Below are 27,602 nucleotides of genomic sequence, written 5' to 3' on the forward strand. Positions count from 1 at the left end.
AATTAAAAATTAAACAACAACAAAAACAACTTCCATTTAACAAGACAGGACAAATAGTGTCTTTGGGAAAAGCCTTTGTGAACCTACCTTATTTAAAAATAAAGCTGCTTCTAAACTAATAACATTTAGGTCAAGCTACTCAATAGTAGAAATGATTATACAGAAGTAGTATAGCTTGGTGGTTGAAATACAGATGCTGGCATCAGACTTACTGGGTGTGTGTCCTGGTTCTGTTACCTAATTGTTGTGTGACTCTGATGAGCAAGTTATTCTGCTTCAGTTTCCCTATTTGTCAAATGGAGACAAATACTGTGGCATTGTGGGGATTAAATCAATTAACAACTGTAAAGTGCCCTGGTATAATGATGATGTATTTGTTATCAGGGTTCGAGTGTCATTAAGGATTGTTACTGTTATCATTGCATCACTACTGTTACCTTACGTTTACATAACACTTTACAAATTTTCAACCATTTTTCATCTCTGCCATCTCATTCTACCATCAGAGCACCTACATGGATACAGAGATAGAAGGTTCCAGCTTACAGTAACCATGAGCCTGGTTTTTCAACTATAAAATGAGAGGATAATCACCAAGGCTCCTTTTGGCTCTAAAAACTCATTTCTATTTTACAAGAAAGAAATTTGAGGCAAAGAGATATTAACTGACTTGCCTTAGGTCATAGACAAGTTACTAGCAGTTAGGATTAAAACCTAGGTATCCCAGATTAATTTGCATTTCAAAGATATAATAATAATAATTTCCCCAGACTCTCCCTGTATCTAAATTTCTTCTTGGAATTGTAAGCAGATACTTAGGAAGGTAATTCACTTGGGGACCATTTAGAATATTACAGATACATTCCAATGACTAGAAGCACCTAACTCATTACTAGGGAGAGAGGGAGTGGAGATATATATCTTTTGTGAACAACATTAACACAGGTAATGGTAATACCAGTAATAATAAAGGAGAAAGAATTACCTGGGCAAGCAGACCTGGTTGGATCTGAAGAGGCTGAGCTCCTGGGGCTTGAGTGACGATGGGAACTGCATTTTCCATTCGCACCGAGTAGCCAGCGTGCTTAGAGGGAGAGGCCTGCAAGCCTGTTCCAGACAGTGTGAGGGAGAGAAGGGTTAGCTGAGACGCTGTGAACAGCTGGATGAAAAGAACCTTCCTGGGCAGTTATGTCAACTTTCTGCTTCCCTTTGCACTGGTCACTGACAACAACCAGGTATTGCCTGGTCCTTGGAAGTCTCCCCTTTGGCTTCTAACAAATTAAAAAACAAAACTCCTCCTGAAATCTTGAATGTCTTCAAAGGCTAGAAGGTCAGATTAAGGAGGCTGTAAGGCCAAAAGTAGGACAGATATGCTCGCAGATTACAACAGGAAAACAAGGGCTTCTGACCATCAAGATGTACCTGTGTATGTCAAAATGAGGGGTGTTGGGGAGATGTATGAACCCATTTGGAATTGCATTGACTGTAACCACACAGTTTACACCATGAGGCTTGCAAAAATAAATTCTTAAGCTTTCTGGGTAAATTGTAACAAAGTACACAGTCTAGCTTCTTAGAGTCTACAGGAGAGGAGTGCTGGGGTCATGGCCAAAGAATTGTTTTGAGGAGGGGTCCCAGGGAAGTACTTTTCAGACTGATGGATATTCTTCATGGGAGCTGGGACTATGTCGGCTGTCAGAGATTGGCAGTTTTCTACAGATAACCCACACAGAGGATATTTCATGCGAGGAAAAGCAAGAGCTGACATCAGCATAACAATGAAAGCACAAACTATGTACTTATTTACAGACAGCTGGCCAGGGACACAGTCCCTGGCAGGTGTGAGAGTCACAAAGGATTGACTTGGTGCTGAGGCATAAGCCCTATTGTTTCTAGGTTGGCCACAGTAGGAGAGGAGCCCTCTAGTTCAGTGATACCAGCGCTCTCACTGGAAGAAATGAGGAGGGCCTTTCTCCATGAAAATGAGCGTGACAGAAAACTGCAGGTGCCGGAGCCCCAGAGGCCGTTCTGTAAGAAGCAGGTGAGAGGCTGTGGCTGCTCAATCTTACCTTGGAAGCCGGGGGGACACACGATGAGAGCTTGCTGGAACGGGTCAGGCCGGGCACAAATCTGGGCTGTTCCTGTCTGCAGGGGCATGCTCCGCTGGGCCACTGCAGCCATGGATGCCGCTGAGGGCTGGTAGAGTGTAGATGGGTAGTTTAGTATGGAGACTTCGGGATTGGCTAAGGAAATAGTGGCACTGGTAGAGGAGGGAGCCTAAAGGAGTGATGGGGATTAAACAAAAATAAACAAAAATAAAAAATGAGGGAGGTGGCATGTTGGGAGACACGAATCTAAATCAAATAAATGAACTCAAAGAAGAACAAACAAACAAAAACTAAGAGCAGAAAGGCAAAAGCAGAGAGGAGTGGAAACACGATTGAAAGTCGCAGGGAAAAGCAGGTCCCTGAAAACATGGGAGACAGTCACCTTGGTGTTCACATTCAGACTTGCTCCTGGCATTTGTGAGGCCCAGACAAGAGGACACACGGATGCCTGCTACCATGTCTAAATGCTGAAAAGGCTAAAAATTAGGCTAGAAAACTGTTTAATAAAATGTTCTGCCTTTTCATTTTGACAAATACACCTTCCCAATAACCGGGAAGACCAGGCGTGAGTTGAGGACTATGGGATTCCTTGGGTTCTGTGCTGACACATGGTGACAGGGAGAGAGCTGGACCTTGCCCTCCTTCTCTCTGCCCAAGCCCCATTCCATCCCACAACATGATGAGCTCTGGGTGCCTGGACCTGCCAGCCTGCACGTCCAAGCTCTGCTCACACTCCCCTCGGGCCTGGTGGGTGCAGTCCACATGTGGGAGGACAAATCCAGGGGGAGGCTCTTGCAGGCCCTAAAGGACTATGGTCTCAGTACCCAGAGCTTGGCACAGGAGCACATGCAACAGGCGGAGAGCAGGGCCGAGGAGGGGCTCAGGACTATGGGCAGTACTGTTTACAGATGTCCTTAGATGGCTGCAAAGCTTAGAGAAGTACAGGAGATGTATGCAGAGAGGGAGAGGGACATGTTGAGCCTGGGGCTTTGTGTCTGCATCCCATGCATTCATGTTGGTATGCAGTGACAAAGCCTGGCAGATAGAAAAGATGCTGGTGTGTCCAGATAACTGAAATGGAGGTGGCTTTGACAAACACAAGCCATTGACATTATGTCCTCTTGCCTTTCTTTTTCAGAAAAAGACATCACTTGAGACTGAACTTGCATGAAAAATGAGGCTGTATAAGGAAAATAAATTCCAACTTTGGAATTCTCCAGTTTCCCCTATCTTAGCCTTCATACTGATCCTTTAGCAAGATAGGTGGTTACCAGTGGTTTCACATTCAGCACTGTCTACAAGAGGTTTTGCCTCTAGAAGTTACAAGGACCAGGGAATACATAGGAAGAAACCACGAAGATATCTTGGACACAAATAGAATTTCAAGTAGGGTGTGTATGGATGTCACATTTGATAAAAAGGACAAAGTCTTATTTTACATATGTTTTCTATACTTAGATTTTGTGCTAAATTTCATTGCAAAGCAAATTGATTTGTTTGAAAATAATCACGAAATTGAGTGGCACAGATGTCTGATTTTAAGCCACATATTTTAAAGTGGGTGTGCTTTTGCAGCGTCGCATAGTCTGCTTGGGACACGTGTGTACATATGTGGGCATCAGTGTCTGTGTTTTGTCAGATGACATGACTTGTATTTCCTGTTTTCTCCATATCGCGATCTCTTCCGGAGGCTTCTTCCCCCTCAACCCTCCACATTCCCCATGGTCTGCTCATATCTAGACTCCCCCCAGCCCTTAGCCCCTGTGGGTGTCCCTGCTGGGGGTCCTGGCACCTGTATCCTCTAGGTTCCCAAACTTCTGCTCGGTGGTTCCACTTTCTTGCCAGCCACTGCTCCTGCTGCTGCTTCCTTCCTGATGTCCCTGGAATCCACTGACTCTTTTCAGTTGTGACTTCCTGGTGCCTGGGACCTATAAGGCCCTGACTAGAAATGTTCTGGTCTCTACTTCCCTTCCAGCCTTCTTGAGCACAGAGGGTAGATCATTCTTTCCACAAGACACCTTTGTGCATGTCAGCACCCCTGCTCCAAAATCCCAATTACAGCTTGATGAACATGGTATGCGCCTGGTCTAGTGCCCTGTTTTCCCTGGTTTGGCCAACCTTACCTTCTAGACTTATCTCCCTCTGCTCTCCACTCTTCTGACACCAAGATTAGTTTACTCATTGTTTTCCAAGCATACTGTGAGCACAGGCCTTTCCCTTCATACAAGCTCTCTGACCCATAGCATTCTCTCCAAGCCTTTGGGCTTTAAGGCCTAGCCTGGGTCCCACATGCCCCATTGTGAAACCCTTTCAGACACCATTAATGGAAATGAATTGCTCCTTCCTTTGCTATCACACAGTACAATATAGCCTTCTAGCCCAGCTCCTGTTACAATCTGCCTTACAGTACAGTTGGTCTTTCCAGCCTAAAGTCTCCTGGGAGGGAGGGGCTGTGTCTTAGTGGTGTTTTCCTCCAGCCTGCAGTGGTCTCTCCTTCCTCTCGATTCTGTAACACATAATCTGTTTGTCTACCTGGCCCCTAGTACATGCTATTCTGCATTTTGATTAAACTATTTTTGCTTACAGCCTGTCTCACCATGGAGACCATGAGCTCCTTGAGAGGCTGAATCTTCCAGCTCTGTAGACTCAAGGACAAATGGCACTTGTGTCCTGATATGGACCCAGTCTCCAGTGTGACCATCAGACATGCATAAGGTTTTCCCCTAGTTTCGAACCCTGCTTAAGGACCAGTTGAAGAAGCCCATGTGAGGGCAACAAAAAGTTTTCTACTTCTGTATATCCTCCTTTAGCTCTCAGAAAGGTAGCTAGCCTATCACTTGCCAGAGAGGAGCACACAGAGAACTGGGAAGAGCTCTTGCAGCTGACAGATAGTAATAACAAGAAAAAACAAGTTAAAAAAAATCAGAGACTGGGGTCTTGCTATGTTGCCCAGGCTGGACTTGAACTCCTGACTCAAGTGGTCCTCCCACTTCAGCCTTCCAAATAGCTAGGATTACAGGTGTGCACCACTGTGCCTAGTGAAAAAGCAAGTTTATTGATGACACAGGTTTTCCAAAAATGGAAGAAGTGATTCCTGGAAGCAGTTGTAGTAGACGTTCAAATGGTTCCAGAAGGAAGGGGTTTGAGCTTGGTCTATAAACTCAAATTCAAATTCTTGGTAGAAGGCTAGGTCCAAATAATAGAATTCCACGGAAATGTTAGAGAAGTTGCTGATCCACATGATAAACAAGGAATAGCTGAGAGAAGACTTATTATTCAACATGTTACCAACTGGGTAACCTGAAAGTTTTAGAAAGTAGAGGAAGTCAGCTGCCTTGAGACTTAACGGGTTATGAATTATTGACCCAGCTTCCTTGAGACCTAAAAGATTGTAGATTCATGATCATTTGGGAAATGGTTCTTTGGTTAGTCTACTGGATATATGTTAAAGGTAGCAAGAGATTCTTTAAGTAGTTTAATGTCCTTCAACTTCTAACATAAAACTATGCATATATTGTATTGCTTCTAAATATCTAAATGGGCAAACAGCTCCAAGGAGCTCATGTAGAAAGCTAGCTACTAGAACCAGCAATGAACAGAAGAAGTCTTGTTGGATTTAAAGAGCAGACATCACCTAGGAAAGGCATTTGGGGACCTCCATAAGACTTACTTAAGACTTACTTATGCTGCTGTGTATGTATATTTTAAGAGTCCAGACTCTGAAGCCAGATTGCTGGCTGCAAAGCCTAAGCCCACCTCTCATGAACGAGCAAGGGCCTTGGGTAAGAGAATTAATCACTCGGTGCCTCAGTTTCCTCCTCTAAAATGGAAATGATAATAATAAAACCTATCTCACAACGTTGCTGGGAGGATTAAGAGTTATGGTACGCTTAGTAAAGCCTGGCACATAATAAGTGTTAGCTATTAGTAATGATGTTATTTAATAACAACAGTATCAGTGGAGGGAAAGCATGCCTTAGTGCTTAAGGCTAGGTGTGTCCTGAGTAATTTTTTTTTCCTGATGTATTCAAAAGTAGGGAGTAGTAGAATCCAATGCAAGAGAACAGAAATCCTGTTCTTGGACCCTTTGCTTTTGTGGGATGTCATTTTCCCTTACCCACGACTCTGGCCCAAGCATCACACTAAGTTACCAGCTACTCCTACTTCACCCCAGTCCCAAGCCAGATCTGGATGGTCTCAGTGCCGTGGAGAAGACGGGTGTTCTTATTTGACAACTGCCTTTTGATGAGCAACCCTTTTAGTTTTGCAGAGTCTTTGCGACACCCTTTGGAGTGGATATGCTGGCTGTCATATCACCAGCAAGATGGCGGTGGCCCCCCACCCCGCGTCTGGTCAGGGACCACAGTTCTCCAGCCTGGCAGAAAGACATCCATGGGAAGGACAGCCTGCTGGGGAGACTCCACTTGACATGACGCCTGCATTGGAGGGGTGCTCCTTCCTCCTGTTTCACAGATGCCTTTGATACCTGATGGGGCAGATGTTAGATGGGGACAGGTAGTTTGGGGTTAGGGAGTTAAGACCAGGTGCCTCATGAGGGCTGGTGGGAGAAACAAATGTCTTCAAGGAGGTAATGAACAAAACCATGCTGATTTTTGTCAAGAAGCTCACAGGTCTGGCTATGGATGCTTTAGCCTTAGGGCTGGGCAAGGTTAGTTTTCGGACTCCCAACAGCTCTTTCACCCTAAGGAGAGCTTCAAGAATGCAAACGGCCCCCAGAGGGCAGCAGATACCAGGTGGTGTCTCCTAGAATTTGGGCAAAGGGAGATGGCAGGCTGGGAAGAAAAGCTAGGCCTGAGCAGGCCAATGTGCCACAAGGATGGCCTAGGGGAAAAGGGTGGGAAGGGGAGCGGCTGAAAAGCAGGGGGCAGTGACTCTTCAGTGACAGGAGGGACCTTTCAAAAAGAATGGACATAAGGTATTCACATTTCAGGTACACACACATCCACACAGAAGTCTTTTCATTCCAGATTGATATTAAGAACAAAAATCTGGGGGCCCTTCTTTAGGGGAACTAGGAGGATTGAAAGATGGGAGTAGGAGTTACAGTTTCTTAGACACTAGAGGCAGTCTCAGCTCAGACTTGGAGATTATTCATTCAATAAATATTGCCTGGGTGTCATCCAAGTTTCAAGCAGTATGTTAGCTGCTCCTTCTGCCAATTTCCTGGAAATCTGTGGGAAGAAAACCTTAGCTTCCTGATCCCATTTAGTTCCAGCTGCTGGGATTCTGGTGACAGGCTGATGAACTGATTTTCTCCATGACTCGGAGAAAGGACAGGGTTTATCTGTCCCAAAAGGAGATCAGGTAGATCCAGCCATGTGGGGACGAGGGGAAGGGCCTGAACTGGGTGATTCCCTGAGTCCTTCCCAGTTCTAGAATCTTTATTTTTTTTAGATTAAATCCATGTTTCCATGATCTTTTTCTTTGTTTTTTGAGACGGGGTCTCACTCTGTCCCCTAGGCTGGAGTGCAATGACATAATCATAGTTCACTGTAGCCCTGAAGTCCTGGGCTCAAGCACTTCTCTCACCTCTGCCTCCTGAGTAGCTGAGACTATAGGCATGCACCACCATACCCAGCTAATTTTTTGTATTTTCTGTAGAGATGGCGTCTCACTGTGTTGCCCAGGCTACTCTTGAACTTCCTGGCTTTAAGTGATCCTCCCACCCTGAACTCCCAAAGTGCTGGGGTTATAGGCATGAGCCACTGTGCCTGGCCAGTTCTAGAATTCTTTACCAGGCACATATCAGGCATAAAAGGATCATAGCACCCCCTTCCCCCTATTCCCACATCAGGACAGAGGAAAGCAGTAAGGGGAACCATCTCAGAAAGAATGGCCCTCACCAGTCCTTTCTGGGACCTGTCAATGGGGCCAGAAGTCAACACAAAATGTGCCTGGGTCCCTCAAAGGAAATAACCTTGGATGCAAATACTTTGTTTAGTTGTTGAACATGACAGCAGGAATTTTGCCTCCTGACTAGGTATGATGGAAAATACAAGTCCTGAGGCTCACACTGTGCAGCCCCGCCTCTCCTTCCCTTCTGTTTCCCACTTACCTGGTTGTGGACAGTGGTCAGCTGGTTGTTAAAGGTCATGGTCAGGTTGGTGGACGTGCTGGGGGCCACGTGCGTGATGAAAGGGGTTTTGCTCTGGTTCACCGTGTCATACATATTCACCCGACGCTTGCAGATCTCCATGTTCTGGAAACATGATTTGACGCTGTTCATGCAAAAGGCAGAGGCATATTGAGACATAAGGGGAGGGGAAGAGGGTAACGTGGGATGAAGGGGAGAAAACAAAGGAAAGGAGAGAAGGGTTAATTCAGTAAACAGGACAAGCAGGGAAACTAAACTTTAGGTCTAAGTTTCTTGGATTGCTTGTGCAAAGCCTGTGCATTTGCAACAGGCACGGTTATTCAGATGAATTTTCTCCAGTGCCCTACTACCCTTTCTCCATATAGGTTCTATATATCACAACAAAACTGACTGCTCACACTGCATTCTCACATCAGGTCCACCTGCAGCATCACTGCTCATTCTCAACTCTCAGCCTGGTTTCTGGCCCACAAACCAATGTATAAGCTCTCTGAATGGGAACATTAACTAGTCACTTATAACCCGCCTCCACCTTTCCCAAAGACAACCCTTGTAGTCACCTGCTTCAGCTACCCTGGGTCACCAGCACCACCTAGGGGACGGCCAAGGAACTCTCCAACCCAGTATGGTGACCCTATTGCCACACTTTCTCCCACAGGGGTTGTGCAGGTAGGTAATGGAAACAGTAATAATACTAATAATTAATAATAGTGGTTAACATTTATTAGTGTCCTAATAATAATACTCTGCAACCTCTCACTCGGTCCGGCAACATCCATAAGACGGAGACATGATTCTCGTCCCTACTTCACGAGTAAGGCTGAAGCTTAGGGAGGTAGGGAGTTTGCCAAGGATAGGTAATCACTGGCTACCTTCGTGTATACACATACGTCCTCTTTCACCAACTTCAGCCTTCATTTTCTTGTCTAAGTCTTGTCCAGCTACATGAAATAGAAATTTTCTCCTTTTCTTCCCCCATTGCATCTGTGTATCAAAACAAAACCCCAACTACAAAAGTAAAGTATAAAAGTGGTGCTGAAACCAGCATCAGGGAAAAGGAAAGCCACAAGTGGCTTCAGCCACCCAAATTCTTGAAAATCGACCAAAAAGTGTCCTTCAGAATTTATACAGCGCTTCTCATTCATTTCTTGTAGTTAAACTTACTTTTCCTCAAATGCTAATATTCAAGATAATAAAATCCCTTTTAGTCTGGGTGGGGTGGCTCACGCCTTAATCCCAGCACTTTGGGAGGTCAAGGTGGGTGGAGTCCAAGAGCTCAAGACCAGCTTGGACAACATAGGGAGATCCTATTCTCTACAAAAAAAATATAAAAATTAGCTGGCTGTGGTGGCACGTGCGCATGGTCCCAGCTACTTAGGAGGCTGAGGTCGGAGAATCACTTGAGCCTGTGAGGTCGAGGCTACAGTGAGTCATGATTAGGCCTCTATATTCCAGTCTGGGTGACAGGGTGAGACCCTGTCTCAGGAAAAAAAAAAAAAAAAAAATTAAAAGAAAAAGAAAAAAAACTCATTTAATTTTCAACTCAAAATGTCTATTTTAATTATAAAAAATGTAATAACTGAATGAGTAAAATAAAAGTTTTCTACTATTTTAGGATTACAAACGTGTACTACTTCAGTACTCTGTGGGTATGCTATCTTTGGGGCTAAGCAGGTGTCTGTGGGCTATTCCCAAACATCCTGTGAAAAATGCATTCCAAGTTTCAAATGACTGACTGAGACGCGACTTAGAGAGTCCTACTTCTTTCTAAGATTCTGACCACTTACACTGGCTGCGTCATGCACACGACATAACCATTTACGGACTGATGATGCTGAAGAGAAAAGAAAACATATTCTGCGGTATCCAGTAGGTAAAAATACTCCTAATAATGCTGTTAATGCCAGTGTGTTTTCAGCTCCTACTAAGTACCAAGGTCTTGTGCGTGGAGGCTGCAGCATAAAACCAATGCATTTTATATTCTTTTTGGAATGGGCTTAAAGCATTTGGTTTCGTGACAATTCAACACAAAATTTCCATACCCCTTCAGAATTTTCCAACTGAAATATTTCAAGTTTTGGGTTTTAGGAAAGGGCAAGTCCTTTCACTTTAGGTTTATAAGAAGATTGGTTTTTTAAAAATTGTGCACTGGAATCCTGGTATGGAGAAAGGAGTGGGGTCTGTTTCACCTAGTAATCCAGTAGCTGTGGCTCAGCTCCCAGGGCAGGGGCGCTACAGCTGCATGGGCCTGGAGATTTATCCTTGCCCTGGAGTTCTTCAAGGTTTTCCCAGCAAGTTCTAGAGAACTTTAGGGATCAGGCCTACTTTCAGGCAAGCCTAGGTGTGTTCAGAGACCCACCTTTCCTTCTTAGGCTAATTTCTGAGTTCTGACTTGTCAGTGCCCCTCTTGGGTCCCAGATGAAGTTCTGAATTGGTTGCTGATGCTCACGGTCTCCATGTGACCAAGCCGTGAAACACTCTACTGATTCTTCCTTACAGAACCCAGAGGTGGAAGGACTCTGAGGTCATTAAAGCCCCAGGCTTTATGGGGGTGACTATCTGACTGTTTTGGTGCAGACGGCTAAGAGGACCTCTGTAGAGGGCACCCCTATCCTCAGTCTCCTATCCGTAGCTGTTTCTCAGTCATCCCATTTTACCCGTGATATCAAAAGACTGAAATCATGGGAGCCCTATCCAGTAAATTGCCAAGTCTGCTTTTCTTCTTCTTGTGGTACAGATGGACAGCTCTGTGGCTGACCCCTATGGCACTCAGAAACAGGACAAATCCAGGCCAGGCACGGTGGCTCACGCCTGTAATCCCAGCACTTTGGGAGGCCGAGGCGGGCAGATCACCTGAGGTCAGGAGCTCGAGACCAGCCTGGCCAACATGGGGAAACCCTGTCTCTATTAAAAATACAAAAATTAGTCGGGTGTGGTGCGTGTGCCTGCAGTTCCAGCTACTCGGGAGGCTGAGGCAGGAGAATCGCTTGAACCTGGGAGGTGGAAGCTGCAGTGACGCAGTGAGCAAAGATCGTACTGCTGCACTCCAACCTGTGCAACAGAGTGAGACTCTACTTCAAAAAAAAAAAAAAAAAAAAAGAAAAAAAGGACAAATCCCATAACAAGAGTAGGGGAGGGATGGGTCCAGATTCCTTTGTACCGGAGTTCAGTTGTTTCAAGCATGGTTTTACATTAAAGAGGCACTATCTGTTTGTTGCAATGCCATTTGACTTGCTTCACTGATAGTAAGGCACAGAAATGAAATGGAGGCCCCACTATCCATGGTGGTGCCACCCACTCACTTCCTGTAGGCCAGAAAGGGGCGGGTCCAGCCTTGAGACCCAGCCCCCTCTGACTCTGGAGACAGCAGGGCCCGCCATGATACGCACAATTCTCACATCTCCAGGCTCTTCTCACAGGATTCCCTTCCCCTCCTGATCCTTATAGAATCTGCTGCTCTCTTGAGCACACCCCTTTTCCCTGCAGACGTAGGATGTGATTATTTATTCTTTTACATCCCAAGTACCTCAGGGTTGAGAGGCTGAAGTGAGACCCTCCATTACCTTCCCATCCACCAACGGCTTCCTATTTTTTTTTTTTTTTGACGGAGTCTCGCTCTGTCGCCCAGGCTGGAGTGCAGTGGCACTATCTCAGCTCACTGCAACCTCCGCCTCCTGGGTTCAAGCGATTCTTGTGCTTCAGCCTCCCAAGTAGCTGGGATTACAGAAGTGCGGCCACCACGCTTGGCTAATTTTTGTATTTTTAGTAGAGATGGGGTTTTACCATGCTGGCCAGGCTGGTCTGAGCTCCTGACCTCAGCTGATCCGCCCTCCTTGGCTTCCCAAAGTGCTGGGATTACAGGTGTGAGCCACTGCAACCGGCCATGACTTCGTTTCCTCTCCCCTTCGTTCACTGAGGCCTTTGCCACTGGCTGGACCTTCCTCTCCAAGCCATTCCCTGCCTCGCTAGGAAGGCTTCAGAAGTCACAGGTCCCTTTTTAAATACCCTGGCTTCCCGCTTACTTCTCATGTCCAGTGACTCTTGTTCTCAACCCAGTACAGCCACTCATTCCCTGGACCGTCAAACCTGAAATTGCTCCACCTCCAGAAACTACAAGTTTAAGCATCCTGTTTTCCCAGCCACATTCTTCCTCCATCTGGCTCATTCCACTATGACTATGATAACCCTTCTCTGCATTGACCAGAACACCACGTTTACTTGGATCCCCTCCCATCTTCACTTCCTTTCCCTTTGGGCAAAGTCTCCAATAGACATCATTCTGGATTACAGTTACTCTCTGGCTAGCCTCATCAGCTTCCTTGTCAATCTGTCTTCTTCTCTTACCAGCCTGGCAAAAATTCCACCTGGACAAACCTAGATCAGAAGACTCATCTGTCTTCTCTATGCCTTCACCTGGGGAGATGAGTTACACTATAAACGATTCATGTCGAACCTCAGGGCTCAACAATTCCACCGTATTTCTCTGGTCAGTTTGCTCTGCCACCTTCTGCTCCAGCTACCTAAACTTTCTACCCTTCTTAAACCACCCTCCACCTCGTTCTCAACAGATAACCTCATTGCCTACTTCTGAGAAGCAGAAGCTGTCTGACAGGACTCCCTCAACTTTTCTCCATGAGACCAGCACATACGCTGACATCCACATGCCCCTCGTCCATCTATCCTTCCAATGACACTGGCCCATCCCTGTGCTCTGAACCCTGTCTTAAAAACAATCCCCTTGACCCCTCCCCAGTCACCCCTCTATTTCTTCTCTTGCATAGCCTCACTTCATGAAAGGTTGCTATTTCTTCACCTCTCACTTGGTCTTTCAACCTGGTAAACTGGTTTCTGCTTTTACCACTCCACTGAATGGCTGCCACTGCGTTACTGACAACTTGTGAGTTGTTAAACCGAATGGACATTTTTTTCCAGACTCATTTGACTTGTGTGGCAGCAGACAGATCTTTGCTCAACACAGATCTAACCAGCTATTCCCTTGCTGAAGAATCATTTAATGAGTTCCCATTGCTTTTTGGATCAAGATTAAAAACCTTAACATGTACGGCCTGCCCTGGCTGACTGGATGCCTCACTGTCTCACCTACTGCCTTCTGGGATGGGTGCATGGTCCTGCCCATGGGGGAGTGTCCTGTCCATACAGGCAATGCCCTGCCTGCTCATGCCCATCCTCTTCCTCATCCTTCACAGGCCACTTCCTGGGAGTCTTCCTGGTTTGCCCCAAAATGAGGCTCCCCTGTGGGTATGCTCTCATCACACCTGATACTTGTCCTCATAGCAGCCTGGTGATTTGGGCATCACTTGTTTTATACCATTCTCTCTCTTACGGACTGCAAGCTCCAGTGGGCAGGGCCGTCTGCTCTGCTCACCACTGTACCCCGGCACACAGCACGCTGAAGAAATGAATGAACAAATCCAAACCCAAACTAGACTGGGTCCACTCTGGGAAGGTTCTGGGAGCAATCTTTGGCCCTGAGACTAGTTTTGCGCTACAGAGACTACCGTTTCGGGCACCTCTCTTCCTGCACAGATACCCAGAGTCAGGTTCATCCAGCTCTGTGCTCTCCTCTTCCCTCCTTTTCAGTGTGAAGCCAACTGCAGGCCAGGGACCCAGTCCAGCCACTGCCCACTTTCTTTCTTTTTTTCTTTCCTTTTTTTTTTTTTGAGATGGAGTCTCGCTCTGTCGCCCAGGCTGGAGTGCAATGGCGCGATCTCGGCTCACTGCAACCTCTGCTTCCCAGGTTCAAGCAATTCTCCTGCTTCAGCCTCCCAAATAGCTGGGATTACAGGTGCGCCCCACCACACCCAGCTGATTTTTGTATTTTTAGTAGAGACAGGGTTTCACCATATTGGCCAGGCTGGTCTCGAACTCCTGACCTCAGGTGATCCACCTGCCTGGGCCTCCCAAAGTGCTAGGATTACAGGCATGAGACACCACGCCCAGCCCTGCCCACTTTCATAAATGTTTCATTAGAATGCAGCCTCACTCATCTGTTTATGTATTGCATCTGTGGCTGCTTTCAGCTACAGTGACAGCTGAGTAGTTGTTACCAAGACCTTATGGCCGCAAAACCTAAAATATTTAGTGTCTGGGCCTTTAAAGTTTGCCGATCCCTGGTACGAAGCATCAGGCAGGACACCTACTGTGTGCTGTGGGGAAAATCGAGTAAGTGTGTCATGGTGACAAAGGGATGGTTCAGGGTTTCGATTGGAGTGATTCTCTTGTCAGCATCAATGGTCAGCATCTTCTTCAACAGGTCAATGAACTCCCGCCGGTCAGCCTTTTCTACCAACATGTCGCTCCCTTCCAAATCTGTCGTCATGTTCACCTGGACGCAAGTAAGGACAGGTTACCAAGGAAGACCCCAGCGTGCCTCCCCTCTCCTGGCTCCCCTTATTTTTTGCCCTGTAACTTCCTCCTGATCTCTCAAGCCCCCTTTCTCAGTTCCCAGGAACTCTGCCCCTATGGGAGGCACCACCCACATGTTGTCATTGCCCACAGGATGTGGCTTTTCTCTCTGCAGGAAAGGCAGAGAGGGGCTGTGCCCCAGGAAGGGGAGAGGGCTGCTGCTGGGACCTGCAAATATATCTGAATGACAGGATGTAAACTGCTCCTGCTTTCATCAGTTAAGTTGAAATGCAGCTTTCATCACTCCTCATTAAAAATAACCACAAGATGAAAAGAGTTCTGGAGACTGGTTGCATAACAATGGGAGTGTTAATACTATTGAACTGTACCCTTAACAAAGGCTAAGATGATAAATTTTATGCTATGTGTGTGTTTGCCACAATTTTTAAAAAAGAGTCACGGCCAAGCAGTACAAATAAGATACAAAAAAGTCTATGTATGTATGTATGTATGTATGTATGTATGTATGTATGCATGTATTTAACCTTTAGAGGGAAGTGGAAGGGCCTGAGTGTGCCCGTCCTCCACCTACAGCATATCATCCTTCTCATGGGTTCCCCAGTTAGGGCCAGAATTATTTTAGTCCCTGTGTTCAATGGAGTCACCTCTGGCCAAGACAGGCAGGATATCTGAACACAGGATTTTTCTTCCAAGGGTGAGTCTATACTAGGATCGACTTTAAAAGGCTTGTTTTGTGGTGATTTCTGTATTTTCCAGGACATGGTCTGGAAACCAATTTCAGTTTTCTCAGACAATCTAAGCTGCTAATCAACTGACAAGCACACTTTACTCAGAATCATGATTTTTGGTTATAGTCATCTACAGTAAGAGGGGTGCTAAGTGTTTACTGGTGTATAGCTTTGTTTCTCATTGCTTTAAAGAGAAAACTCACTTTGGGTTGCCCTGGTTTCAGACTAATTTTCACACTAAAAATAGCTGAAGTTCTAGAATTTTCTCTGGGGCACAAAGGTGAGAGCCTGCGGTCCCTGCCAGTGAGCTGAGACTGTGTAGCAGATTGAATTGTATCCCTCTAAAAGATATATTAAAGTCCCAGTCCCCAGTTGGTGTGAATGTGACCTTATTTGGAAATAGGGTCTTTGCAGATGTAATCAAATTGAGTTAAGATGAGGTCATACTCGATTAGGGTGGGCCCAGTGACAAGGCAAGGGAGATGTGGACACAGAGGCACAGAGGAGACACAGGACAAAAGCCATGTGAAGAAGGAAGCAGAGATTAGAGGGATGCAGCTACAAGTCAAAGAACGCTGAGGATTGCCAGAGCTGCCAGAAGCTGGGAGACAGACACGGATGCTCTTCCCCTATGGCCTTTACAGTGAACATGGGCCTGCTGAAGCCCAACTTCCAATTTCTGGCCTCCAGAACTGTGGGGGAATGAAAGTCTGTTGTCCTAAGCCATCCAGTTCATGGCACCTTCTAACGGCTGCCCCAGGAAACATACACACTAAATTATGGGCATTAAACCCATGGGTACTAATGGGCTGGAATTCTTCTCATGATAACATCAGGCAGATAGGCCAGTACTATATTACAACTGGGAACCAATACACTGGAATGATTGTTTTTTTGTTTTTTTTGAGATGGAGTTTTGATCTTGTTGTCCAGGCTGGAGTGCAGTGGTGTGATCTCGGCTCACTGCCTCCTGGGTTCAAGTGATTCTCCTGCCTCAGCCTCCCGAGTAGCTGAGATTACAGGTGCTCACCATCATGCCCAGCTAATTTTTGTATTTTTAGTAGAGACGGGGTTTCGCCATGTTGGCCAGGCTGGTCTTGAACTCCTGACCTAAGGTCATCCACTCGCCTTGGCCTCCCAAAGTGCTAGGATTACAGGCATGAGCCACCATGCCTGGCCAACTGGAACGATTTTAAAGGAGCTGGTATGAAGTTTTAAAAATGTTTCACACACCAAATGGTATTCTTACTAAGACTGGCTGTAACTATTTAAGGTCAAGGTCAACCACTGCAGTTGAATAATGTGGATTTCAACCCATTATCTTCTATTACTATTGCAGAAGTCTTGCTGCCCTTGGTTTTAAAGGGCTTACGTTGCATACTCACCCATGAAGCTTACCTGGGCCATATCATCTAAACAGTTGAAAATGTACTTTCTTGCTTCTTTTGACTTAATCCCTGTCTCTGCTTCATGGTCATCTGGTGTCTGTCAAGAGAGGCAAAAGCCAATTGGTAGCGTGACTTAGCTCCTCATCACTGGGACTCAAGCCTTGGAACTCCTGTGTCTCACAGAGGGTCTCTTTCCCACATTTCGGAAGAGATTTTGATTCTTCAATGACCTGCACACCTGCAATTCCCTTCTCTCTTCATCCACACCAACCCATCCCTCCTCCTTCCTATGCACACGTGTCAGGGGCTGGCTCCGGGTCAGGTATGGAGCAGTCTTGCTCCATACCACAGGCTGATCAAGGTATGCCACATCCTCGATCAGCTTACAGCCTTCTCTGAGTCTAAGGAATAAGGCAAGATTCCATTGTGGAAAAGCAAAGGGCTTTCCCATGCATTTTCCAATTTTATTTAATAAACCCTTATGCACATAGCTCTTGCTACGTGCCAGACATTGTTCTAAAGCACATTTATTCATTTAATAGTTTTGACAACCACATTAGGTAGCACAGTTACTATCCCCATTTTCCAGATGGGGAAACAGGAAGAGAAAGCTCCAGGCACTTGCCATGGTCACATGGCCAATAGGTGGCAGCTGGCCCCAGAGTTTGTGGCTGGGCTGCCCCTCTATTGGTGGCTGAGACACAGACCTACATTCCCCAAATGGCTGGAGATACTGCTGTTTCCAATTACTATGGATTTCTGTACTCATCCATGAGGTAATCCAGAGGTAATTCGTCTTCAAAATCTCACTCAAGGACAGCACACCTGGAGCGGCTTAAGTCCTGGGAACAGCTGGACATGTGGGACTGAGGCTCTTCAATAAAACACAACAGCAAACTCCAGCCTCACCCTCCTCCACCGGAGGACTCTTTTTACTGGACCTGACCTTGACACTCACCCTCACAGTTGCCAAATGCCAGGCCTCCCATCAATAGCCTGAGTGCTTGCTCAGTTCCCAAATCTCTTTTCTCAGTCTTTTGTGACTACTGGATATATATTATCTTTAAACCATATTAGGATTTGGCTGCAGATTCCATTAAAAAAACAAATCCAAAACAACAACAAAACAAACACCCACCCACCCTGCTGCAAAAAAAGAAATACCTAAAATGAAACATATTTAAGACTTTATTATTTTCTTTTTACCAGGAAAATACTTTGATTTTAATTGCTAGGCACAGATCAAAGTGAAAGCAAACTATGTTTCTGTTAAAGTGAAGCCCCTGCCCCCGGAGTTTCAGGTTTATGGTTACTTGTGTGAACCAGACACCTCCCTGGGCCTTAGGATATTCCCATGGGCTCACCAGGCAGCCTCCTTTGCCTGGAACCCCTCTCCCTAACCCCCATCACCCCAGCCGCCACCCCACACTTCTATACTGGGCAAACCCGCTTCATTCTTCCTTTTCTTTTTTTGAGACACAGTCTCACTCTGTCGCCCAGGCTGGAGTGCAGTGGCACAATCTCAGCTCACTGCAACCTCCGCCTCCCAGGTGCAAGTGATTCACGTGCCTCAGCTTCCTGAGTAGGTGGGATTACAGGAGCATGCCACCACGCCCAGCTAATTTTTATACTTTTAGTAGAGACGGGGTTTCACCATGTTGGCCAGGCTGGTCTCGAATTCATGACCTCAAGTGATCCACCCGCCTCAGCCTCCCGAAGTGCTGGGATTACAGGCGTGAGCCACCACGCTCCCTCTTCATTCTTTAGGGCCCAGTTCAAATGCTCCTCCTTGCCCCTCTGCTGCAGGCAGAATTAAATGCTCCTTCCTCTTGGCACCCACACCCATTCTTGACCAGGAACAGGGCCCTTACTACAGTGGGCGGGAGCTTGTGGCACATGGTCCTGTCTCCCTCTGGACTGCCAGCTCTCAAGGGCAGAGTGGGGTTCGTTTCTCTCCCTAGCACAAATCAGACAGTCATCAAGGCTTATCGGATTAAATCCTGGGAGTTCAGCAATCATAAGGTTGGACTCTCACAGGCGGCGATAGGCCAAGGGAAAGAGGGGCTTCTGAGCATTCAGATTCAGCCATACCATGTATTAACAACAGCACCCCCAGTGCCCTCATTTTGCTGACTGAATCAAAAGCTCCCCACTAATGGGTCTACGGCCCTCTTCCCTAAGCGCTGGGCCACTGTGAGGAGTGGAGGAGACGCTCTTCCTACCTTCAGTCTCCACAAAGGATATGGTGAGTCCGTGTCACGGTTGAAAAACCTAGTTGTCTTTGTCCCGGCGCTTAATAAATATTCAGCAGGCAAACCCTGTGTTTGTGAAATATACCGAATCTGCAAGAAAAGATAAGAATGAGGTCAGGGCTTTTCCTGTCACTATACATATGGTATACTAATGGCTCTGCTGGCTTTGAGAAAAATGAAAATGACAATTTTTGTAGGGAAAGAAGTTAACAAAAAAGAGAAAAAAGAAAAAGGGAAAAGAGAAAGGAATAAAGAAAAAATAGCAAGGTTAAGGGAAGCAAGGTTTGGGAGACAACGTGACATTCCACAGTCCCGCCCATTTGTCATGTAATCAATGAAATGCTAATCCAGGCTATTTTCCAGATGAAGAATGAGGTCTTGTGAATATCTGTGTCATCTGGACCCACCTGATCATACTCCGAAGCTCCTGGATATAACGGCCAACCCAGGAACAATTCTGCAATAACACAGCCCAGGGACCACATGTCAATTGCCTCACAAAATGGTAAACCAAGGATGATCTCAGGGGCCCTGAAAAGGAAGAATGGAAGAAACCATTAGCAAGTTGGAAATGCAGGAAGCTGTTTCTATATGAATACTATCTTTCAAACCTGGGGTGCCATTACTGACTCCTCCTCTGAAGGGCCTGTGGCTCTCAGGAGAGGCGCTGTGCTACAACAATCCTTCCATTCTTTGGCTTGGTCCCCTCCATTAGTGGAGGGCCCACTTGGAAGGTTGGCTGAGATGAAGGATAAGTCTGTGTGTTTAGAACACACCTACAGAGAACCACGTCTACTGACTTCATTACCTTCACACGCCAATCAGATGAGCTAACAACCATTTTAGAGATATTCTGAAGTTATCTTTTGTAGCTGAAAGTCTGGGAAACTAATCTTCAGAGAATGCCTGGTTTTTACAAAGGAGTTCTGAAACGCAGGTCTTCTATTTTCTTCTGTCTATCTAGAGATGGGAACTCACTATGTTGCCTAGGCTGGAGTGCAGTGGCTATTCACAGGCATGATCATAGCTCGCTATAGTCTTGAACTTCTGAACTCAAACAATCCTTCTGCCTCAGCCTCCTGAGTAGCTGGGTCTATAGGAATGCACAACCACACCTAACTCGAGGTATTCTATCTTCAGGAAGATGTAAAACAAGCTGTCCCCTTCCCAAAATAACGGGATTAAGTCCAATATCTGTTTATGCCAATTATCCTTTCTTAAGAATTTACATCACACTTTCTTAAGGAAACATTGCTATTTTTTATTAGCTTCTAAAAAGCTAATCTTCTTAGAAGTTACCTAATATTACAATTATAGAACCCCATTCATGAATACAGAGTCTGGTATCAACCAGGATTCCAGCGTAAACTCCATGAACAACCTGTTCCTGAATGCAGGAGTTCTGTCCCTTCAAGGAAATCACCTAAACCCCAAGAGAACATTTCACAGGGAGTTGGTAATCAACACTAAAGAGACCACCCAGGTACATCTTCTTTTCTAAGAATCTGTCATGATTAGGTAGGGGTATGTTTTGGACAAAACCAGGCTCAAAGTTTGAGATATGAACACAGCTTATGTTTTTTTAAAAAAATATGTCTCAAGGCCAGGCACGGTGGCTCATGCCTGTTATCCCAGCACTTTGGGAAGCTGAGGCAGGTGGACTGCTTGAACCCAGGAGTTCAAGAGCAGCCTGGGCAACATGGCAAAACCCTGTCTCTACCAAAAACAAACAAACAAACAAACAAACCCAAATTAGCAGGGTGCGGTGGTGTGTGCCTATAGTCCCAGCTACCTGGGAGGCTGAGGCGGGAGGATTGCTTGGACCCGGGAGGTGGAGGTTGCAGTGAGCTGAGATTGCACCACTCTACTCCAGCCTGGACGACAGAAATAGACCCTGTCTCAAAAAAAAAAAAAAAAAAAAAAAAGAAAGAAAGTAGCTCAAGGCATTCTGCTGATAATGAAATGCATTAGCCTGATTTTTGTTTTCTCTATAAATTTTCCACTTCACTAAGAGATGGTAGAAGAGGCTACTTTCCTACCCTTTCTGCAGCCTGGAGTGGGAGTGAAGGGAGCTGGGGAGACCTTTCTCTTGGTTACCTTTCACACACCTAGCATGAGAGTGGGGAGGAAGAGGGCGATCAGAAACACCCCCACTGGTCTTGGATCTTCTAGCTGAATTTTTCTCTACTGAAAAAGTACCTCCTCTTCCCCCTTTAAATTTGTTCTCATTGCTAATCTTTTTTCTTTATATAATAGTATTGAAAAGAAGAAAACAAACAAAACCCAAAAATGTCTTATTACCAAGTTCTGATTTTTCACAAGTAAAATGGAGTTTGGCCAGGTGTGGTGGCTCATGCCTGGAATCCCAGCACTTTGGGAGGGTGAGATGGGAGGATCACTTGAGCCCAGGAGTTTCAGACCAGCCTGGGCAACAGAGTGAGACCCTGTTTCTTAAAAAAAAAAAAAGGGGTTAGGCGCAGTGGTTCAGGCCTGTAATCCCAGCACTTTGGGAAGCCAAGGTGGGAGGATCACTTGAGGTCAGGAGTCCAAGACCAGCCTGGTCAACATGGTGAAACCCTGTCTCTACTAAAAATACAAAAATTAGCCAGGCGTGGTGGCGCAGGTCTGTAATCCCAGCTATTCAGGAGGCTGAGGCATGAGAATCGCTTGAACCCAGGAGGCAGAGGCTGCAGTGAGCCGGGATCGTGCCATTGTACTCCAGCCTGGGTGACAGAGTAAGAGTCCGTCGCAAAAAGAAAAAAAAAAAAAGCCAGGCATGGAGGTGCGCACCTGTGGTCCCAGCTACTCAGGAGGCTGAAGTGGGAGGACTGCTTGAGCCCAGGAGTTTGAGGGTGCCATGAGCCATGATTTGCACCATTGCACTCCAGCCTGGTAACAGAGCAAGACCCTGTCTCAAAAAAAAAAAAAAATTTTAGTTTATTCCTTTCCTCACAACTAGAGACTGGGTACTGGCTACTACGTGCTTCTAGAGTACCAGTCACACTTGCCGGTCTGGGCAGCAGAAGGAGTGACCGCTGGGGGCTGGAGTGAGTTGCCTTGTTGCTATTTAATGAACCTTCCGTTGTCCCCATCGCCTGCTGCTGGGCGTCTTCAGCTGCCAGTGTTCTGCTTGGCACTTCACCCCCTTTGGCCTTTGTCTCCTTTGGTCCCCACATTGGACTGCGCATGTATTGTCAGGGGCCACTCTTACTCACTGGCACTGATGAGCTGGGGATGCCTGTGGTGGCTCCAAGACATGTCCCTGCTGCACCCTTGTCTTCCATGTGACCACGAGCCCACCACCTGCCTAGGCCACCTGTGTCAGTGTTGGCCACATACCAGGGCCCCCAGGTTCACTCATCATTGTGTGTAACTGATAAGATTACTGCCAGGTTGCCTCTAGCAGTGCCTTTAGAGATCGTTTCAGTTTATTTAAAACATCACATCCCTTAGAAAAAAGAAGGGACTATCTGTTTCAGGTTTTTTTTTTTTTTTTTTTTTGAGACAGAGTCTTGCTCTGTTGCCCAGCCTGGAGTGCAGTGGCATGATCTTGGCTCACTGCAACCTCCACCTCCTGGGTTCAAGCGATTCTCGTGCCTCAGCCTTCCAGGTAGCTGGGATTACAGGCACCTACCACCAGGTCTGGCTAATTTTTGTATTTTTAGCAGAGGCGGGTTTTCACCATGTTGGCCAGGCTGGTCTCAAGCTCCTGATCTCAAGTGATCCACCTGCCTCAGCCTCCCAAAGTGCTGGGATTACAGGCAGGAGCCACCATACCTGGCCAGAAAAGAAGGGAATATCTGAAAAGAACACTACCAAAAAAAGTATTATGGTGTCAGAACCTGCTTTTCTCTCTGCCCTCCCTGTTCTAGAGTCAGGGGTGGCCTCCTGCCTCCTCTCACGTGGATCTAGGCCTCTTCATGGGAGGAGAGTTTTGGCCTGGACTGCTGGCTCAAGGATCAAGCACATTCTCACCTCTGTCCCCCGATTCTTGTCACCTGGCCTCTTGGCTGGCCCCTGCCCTCTTGCAGCCTGACGTTTGGAAGTCTGACGCTCCAGTCTGTAGGTTTGGATGTTTGACACTCAAGTAAGTCTTAGGAAGGCCGGTCTGGCCCCAGGGGACTTCTCTGAACTTGACTATGGGCCTGCCCTTCCTATCAGGTTAGTTACGTGGTTCTCATGGCCCGGAAGGCTGTTCCTAACCCACGGAAACCTCGTTTTCCAGTTTCCATTCCCCAGTGATGAACAAGGCAGACTGCAACAACTAAAATGGCCACACAAAGGCACTTTAGTGATGTTCTTTAGCAGGAAACACCAGACATAGATTTTGACGACTGACGTGACATGAACGGGGCCTGGGAAAATTGCTTGTAGTCCACCAAGAAAATGAAATGGCAGCCATTCACGGTACCATGATACGTGCCGCAGAATGTTCCTGCTGCGACCGTAAAGAACAAATGCCCAGGCATCTGGCTAGGTGGCTGGGAGACAGTACTGTCTGCGAAGGCCTCTGATGCTGCGAAAGCCACATCAAAGCACACAGGACAACTCGAGTCGAATACAAAACGTGTGTCACAGAAAGACACAGACATAAAAATCGAGCCGACACAGCACACCACATGCTCTAGCGGCTCCCACGTTAGAAAACAAAGCAGAACACAAGAACAAAACAGAACACAAAAAACAAAACAAAAGCCCCAAACACAAACCTTTCCTAATCCCTTCGTCTCCCAGCAGCTGCTGCCCTAGTTCTCAGCTCCCCTTCAAGGCCCACTCTCTGGAGAGAGTCATCTCCCCCTGTGGTTCCCACCTCTTCACCTCACAGCATTTGCTCAGCTTCCTCTAATTGGAGTTGGACACTCTGCGTCACTGACGCGCTGCACTTGTTGAGATCAGCAGTGATCTCCACGCTGTCACATCTGTTGATCAACTTCTTAGCTCTGTGACCTGGGAGCCACATTTTTTTCACGCGGGTGATCATTCCTTCCTGCCCTGAAACACTTATTCTTGGTTTTCATGACATCGCTTGCTCCCCATATCTGTCCCGCCTCTCTGCTTGTGGCTTGCCCATTTCCTTTGTAGGCTCGCCCTCTTCTATCCAACTGCTGTGTGTTGGCCAAGTCCTAAGCCCACCGTCTTCTCTCCTTCCACCCAGCCCTAGATAATTGTTATGGGTTGAATTGTGTCCCCCTAAAAGTTATGTTGAACTCCTAATTCCTGGCACCTTGGCATGTGACTTTATTTAGGAATGGAGTTGCTGCAGATATAATTAGCTAAGATGAGGTCACACTGGAGTAGGTGGGCCCTAATCCAATGTGACTTGCATCCATATCAGAGGGAAATCTGGACATAGATACTGACACAGCAGCAAGATGGTCATGTGAAAAGGGAGGAAGAGATTGGAGTGATGCTGCCACAAGCCAAGGAACACCTGGAGCCACCCGAGGCAGGAAGAGACAAGGAAGGCTCTACCCCTGGAGCCTTCAGAGGGAGCATGGCCCTGTTGACACCTTGATTTTGGATGTCTTTTGTTTTAAGCCAGATATTTTGTGGTACCTATTTCAGCAGCCCTAGGAAACTGACAGTCATCTTACTCGCTCCATAGGTTTAAATTCCATTTGTATTCCCAGGTTTGTCTCCATCTTGGAATTCTCCTTCTGGCTCTAGATTTGCATTCTGGAAGCCTGGTATTGCCTCTGGAATGTCTCATAGTCATCTCCAATTCCACACGTCTAGAAGGGAACTATTCTCTGATCCCCCTCTCTAAACATATTCCTTCCACTGTCCTCCTCATTTTATGAAAGGGAACCACCACCCTCCAGCTGCTTAGGCAGAAATCCAGGAAAGATGTTTGATTTCTTCATCCCCACCATCTATCCACTAACATGGCCAGCTCCAAAGTCTCAAGTCAGCCCCTGATTCTCCATCCCCCCTGCCGCAGCAGTGGCGCTGGTCACCCCTGCGTCACCTGGAGCTTCCACTGCAGCCTTTCCACTTGTCTCTCCCTTCCTTGTGCCCACTTCCTCCATGGCAGCCACAGGGAACAGATGGCACCCCACCCCCTTGCCGTAAGCCTTCAGGGGCTCCCCACTGGACTTGGAATGAAATCTAGACCCCTCCATGGCCATGGGGCCTCCACGATTGGGACCCTGCCCACCTCTCCACCATCACTGCCAACCACTCTCCTAGCTTAATACGTTGCAGGCCCGTTGGTTTCCTTTCCATTTGCAAGAGTACCTGGAGCTCCTTTGGAGCCAGAGTCTTCGTGGGATGCTGTTGCTTCTGCCTTAAATGCTCTCCCTGCTGGCTGTCACATGGCTGCCTCCTTCTCATCCCTCAAATCTTAGCTCAGCTGTCACGCTACAGACAGGCCTCCCTTGACACCAGTTAGTCTTCATATAGGGTGCCATAAATGCCACTTCACAGCACTTTCTTAACCTGCTCACTGTCTGTCTTCCCTGACCAAGTCTATGAGGGCAGCGCAGGCATTCGGTAGCCACTCATTAAGCATTTGTTGATCAAATAAACCTTTATTAAATATAAGAAAGTGTTAAAATATGGATTAAGACAAAGCTCTAAGGCAGTGCAGATAAAAGAGAGTAGAAGGGCTGAATCATTATGCAGCAATCAAGGTTTGGGCATGAGGGGGCAGGATTTAGCCCAAGGAGGAGCAGAAGCTGAGGCTCAGAGAGGGGCACGAGCAACCCGGCTCACACTCACCACAGCAGGGCAGACAGCAGGAGTGCCAAGGACACCTACTTGCAGGTGGCCAACAAAAGAATTACAGCAAAAATGACAGGGAGGAGGAACAGGAGGGCTAGAAGTGGCACCTGGCTCATGCAGGGTTAGGACTTGGGACCTCAGGGATTTAGCCCAAACCTCTTATTTTATGGCCATTGTCATTACGCCCTCTAGAGCCTCCACCTTAGCTCTTATGTTGAAGACTTTATCCTGCGCAGTCCCACTGCAGCATGCGAAATCACATGCTCTTCCATCTGGGCCTCACTACAGCCACCTGCTGCTCTCTTGCCTTTGGTTTTAACCTTTTCCAATCCACTCTGGATCCCTCTCCCACCCCTAAGGGTGCAGCCTTTTCTCTGCACTCATGAGACATGTTTCAGATACAGCCTGCTCCCCTCCCTGCCCGCTTCCATTCTTCCTTATTCAAACAGACACTGCCCACTGTCTCTGTGCTGGCTCTACCAGGTGACAAGCATACAAAGATCAATGACATACTCAGACCAGATTGGTCCAATAAATACTAACTGAGCACCCACTGGCCCCACAGAACCATCTTAAAGAATTTCCTCATCGCTATTTTGGGACATCAGAAATACTTTAAACATATATATGAAGTGTCAGACAAAATCTGCACCTAAGAAAGAGGACTCATTCCTTTCCAACATTCCCAAAGCAAGCCACTAAACATTCTTGTTCTGGAGAAAGAGAGTAAATAATTGTCTTTTTTTTTTTTTTTTTTTGAGACAGAGTCTCACTCTGTTGCCCAGGCTGGAGTGCAGTGGCGCGATCTTGGCTCACTGCCAGCTCCACCTCCCGGGTTCACGCCATTCTCCTGCCTCAGCCTCCTGAGTAGTTGGGACTACAGGCGCCCACCACCATGCCCGGCTAATTTTTCGTATTTTTAGTAAAGACGCGGTTTCACCATGTTAGCTAGGATGGTCTCGATCTCCTGACCTCGTGATCCGCCCGCCTCGGCCTCCCAAAGTGCTGGATTACAGGCGTGAGCCACCACGCCCAGCCAATAATTGTCATTTTTGACACACAAATACGTTTGCATATCTGCCTCTACTATACCTCCTGGAGGGCAGGGTCTGCATCTCACTTGTCCTTGATCCTCAGCCTGGCACACAGAAGCTGCTTCGTAAACAGCTGCTCAACACCCAGCCCATAAACCCTCAGGTAAGGGAGGTAGTTCCCCATTTGGCCCCCAGGAATCTTTGGGGACTTCAGACCATTTTGCTGGGATCTGATCTTGCAGAGGCCTTGTCCCCCTGCTCTGCTAGTCTATAAGGCTCTGAGGTCCTAGAAGTTCAAAGTCAAGTCTAAAATGTTTCTTTTCATCCAGCCCACCTGAAGCATGTTGGATGGTTGCTAAAGCATGCTTAATCTTCAGGGAAGCTCATTCTGACAGTCATTCTGAGCCAGAATTTGTTTCAAGCTGTCCTCACTCACTTATTAGAATATTCAACCACCATTTACTAAGTGTTTCCTCTGTGCCAGGTACTGTGCTGGGTGCTAAAGATCAAAAAGTAAACCAGACCCTGCAGCTCTTCCAGGAGTTCACCGTCTAGCCAAGGTAGCAGCATAGCGACATCTGACATACAATGTGTGAAGTGTGTACATAGTACACAAAGATGGGGGAAATTGGAGGAGGAGAGAGAAAGCAGGATGGGCTTCCCAGGAGGAGTCTGAGCTGAGCCTTAGTAAGTGGCCAGGCAGGGGTGGCTACCACACACAGAGCAGCGCAAGTCCCCCAACCCCCATGTCACTGCTGTATCTCCAGCGCCTAGCACGCAGCCTGGGCATGTAGGTGCTCCATACACATTTGTAGAAGGAATGAGTCTATGTCAAGTGCACACCCTCAGCAGTTGCCAGTTTTCCCT

At 46.9% G+C, this 27,602-nt stretch overlaps 1 protein-coding gene and 1 long non-coding RNA gene across 14 annotated transcripts in view, besides 2 other annotated features; one reads left to right on the forward strand and one right to left on the reverse strand.

The window, feature by feature from the left end:
• Nucleotides 1-3,337, forward strand: part of LOC105375530 (uncharacterized) — a 30,021-nt gene extending 26,684 nt beyond the window's left edge. The window contains exons 3-4 of the long non-coding RNA XR_001745383.2: nucleotides 1,897-2,041; nucleotides 3,247-3,337. This is a non-coding gene — a long non-coding RNA (uncharacterized LOC105375530). The remainder of the gene's footprint in view (nucleotides 1-1,896; nucleotides 2,042-3,246) is intronic.
• HIPK2 (homeodomain interacting protein kinase 2) overlaps nucleotides 1-27,602 on the reverse strand; it is a 216,429-nt gene that overhangs the window by 50,647 nt on the left and 138,180 nt on the right. For 9 of the 13 annotated variants that reach the window (XM_047420260.1, NM_022740.5, XM_047420264.1 and 6 more), the window contains 7 exons: nucleotides 19,386-19,509; nucleotides 18,949-19,068; nucleotides 16,737-16,823; nucleotides 14,385-14,569; nucleotides 8,185-8,347; nucleotides 2,070-2,277; nucleotides 986-1,107 (listed from right to left, as the gene is read on the reverse strand). In XM_047420260.1, coding sequence (XP_047276216.1) covers nucleotides 986-1,107; nucleotides 2,070-2,277; nucleotides 8,185-8,347; nucleotides 14,385-14,569; nucleotides 16,737-16,823; nucleotides 18,949-19,068; nucleotides 19,386-19,509 — 1,009 coding nt within the window. The remainder of the gene's footprint in view (nucleotides 1-985; nucleotides 1,108-2,069; nucleotides 2,278-8,184; nucleotides 8,348-14,384; nucleotides 14,570-16,736; nucleotides 16,824-18,948; nucleotides 19,069-19,385; nucleotides 19,510-27,602) is intronic. The other 4 variants (XM_047420265.1, NM_001113239.3, XM_011516080.4 and 1 more) reach the window with 1 other exon arrangement.
• Nucleotides 8,675-8,734: an enhancer, noted in NCBI's record as "active region_26765". NCBI's record gives its function as "activates an Ori minimal core promoter by ATAC-STARR-seq in GM12878 lymphoblastoid cells {active_cell/tissue: GM12878}" and the evidence as "EXISTENCE:reporter gene assay evidence [ECO:0000049][PMID:35858748]".
• Nucleotides 14,173-14,383: a silencer, noted in NCBI's record as "fragment chr7:139311135-139311345 (GRCh37/hg19 assembly coordinates)". NCBI's record gives its function as "represses an EF-1alpha promoter that drives an FKBP-Casp9 reporter gene in an ReSE screen in K562 erythroleukemia cells {active_cell/tissue: K562}" and the evidence as "EXISTENCE:reporter gene assay evidence [ECO:0000049][PMID:32094911]".

This window comes from Homo sapiens, chromosome 7 (genome assembly GCF_000001405.40).
Source record: "Homo sapiens chromosome 7, GRCh38.p14 Primary Assembly".
Taxonomy (NCBI): Eukaryota; Metazoa; Chordata; class Mammalia; order Primates; family Hominidae; genus Homo; species Homo sapiens.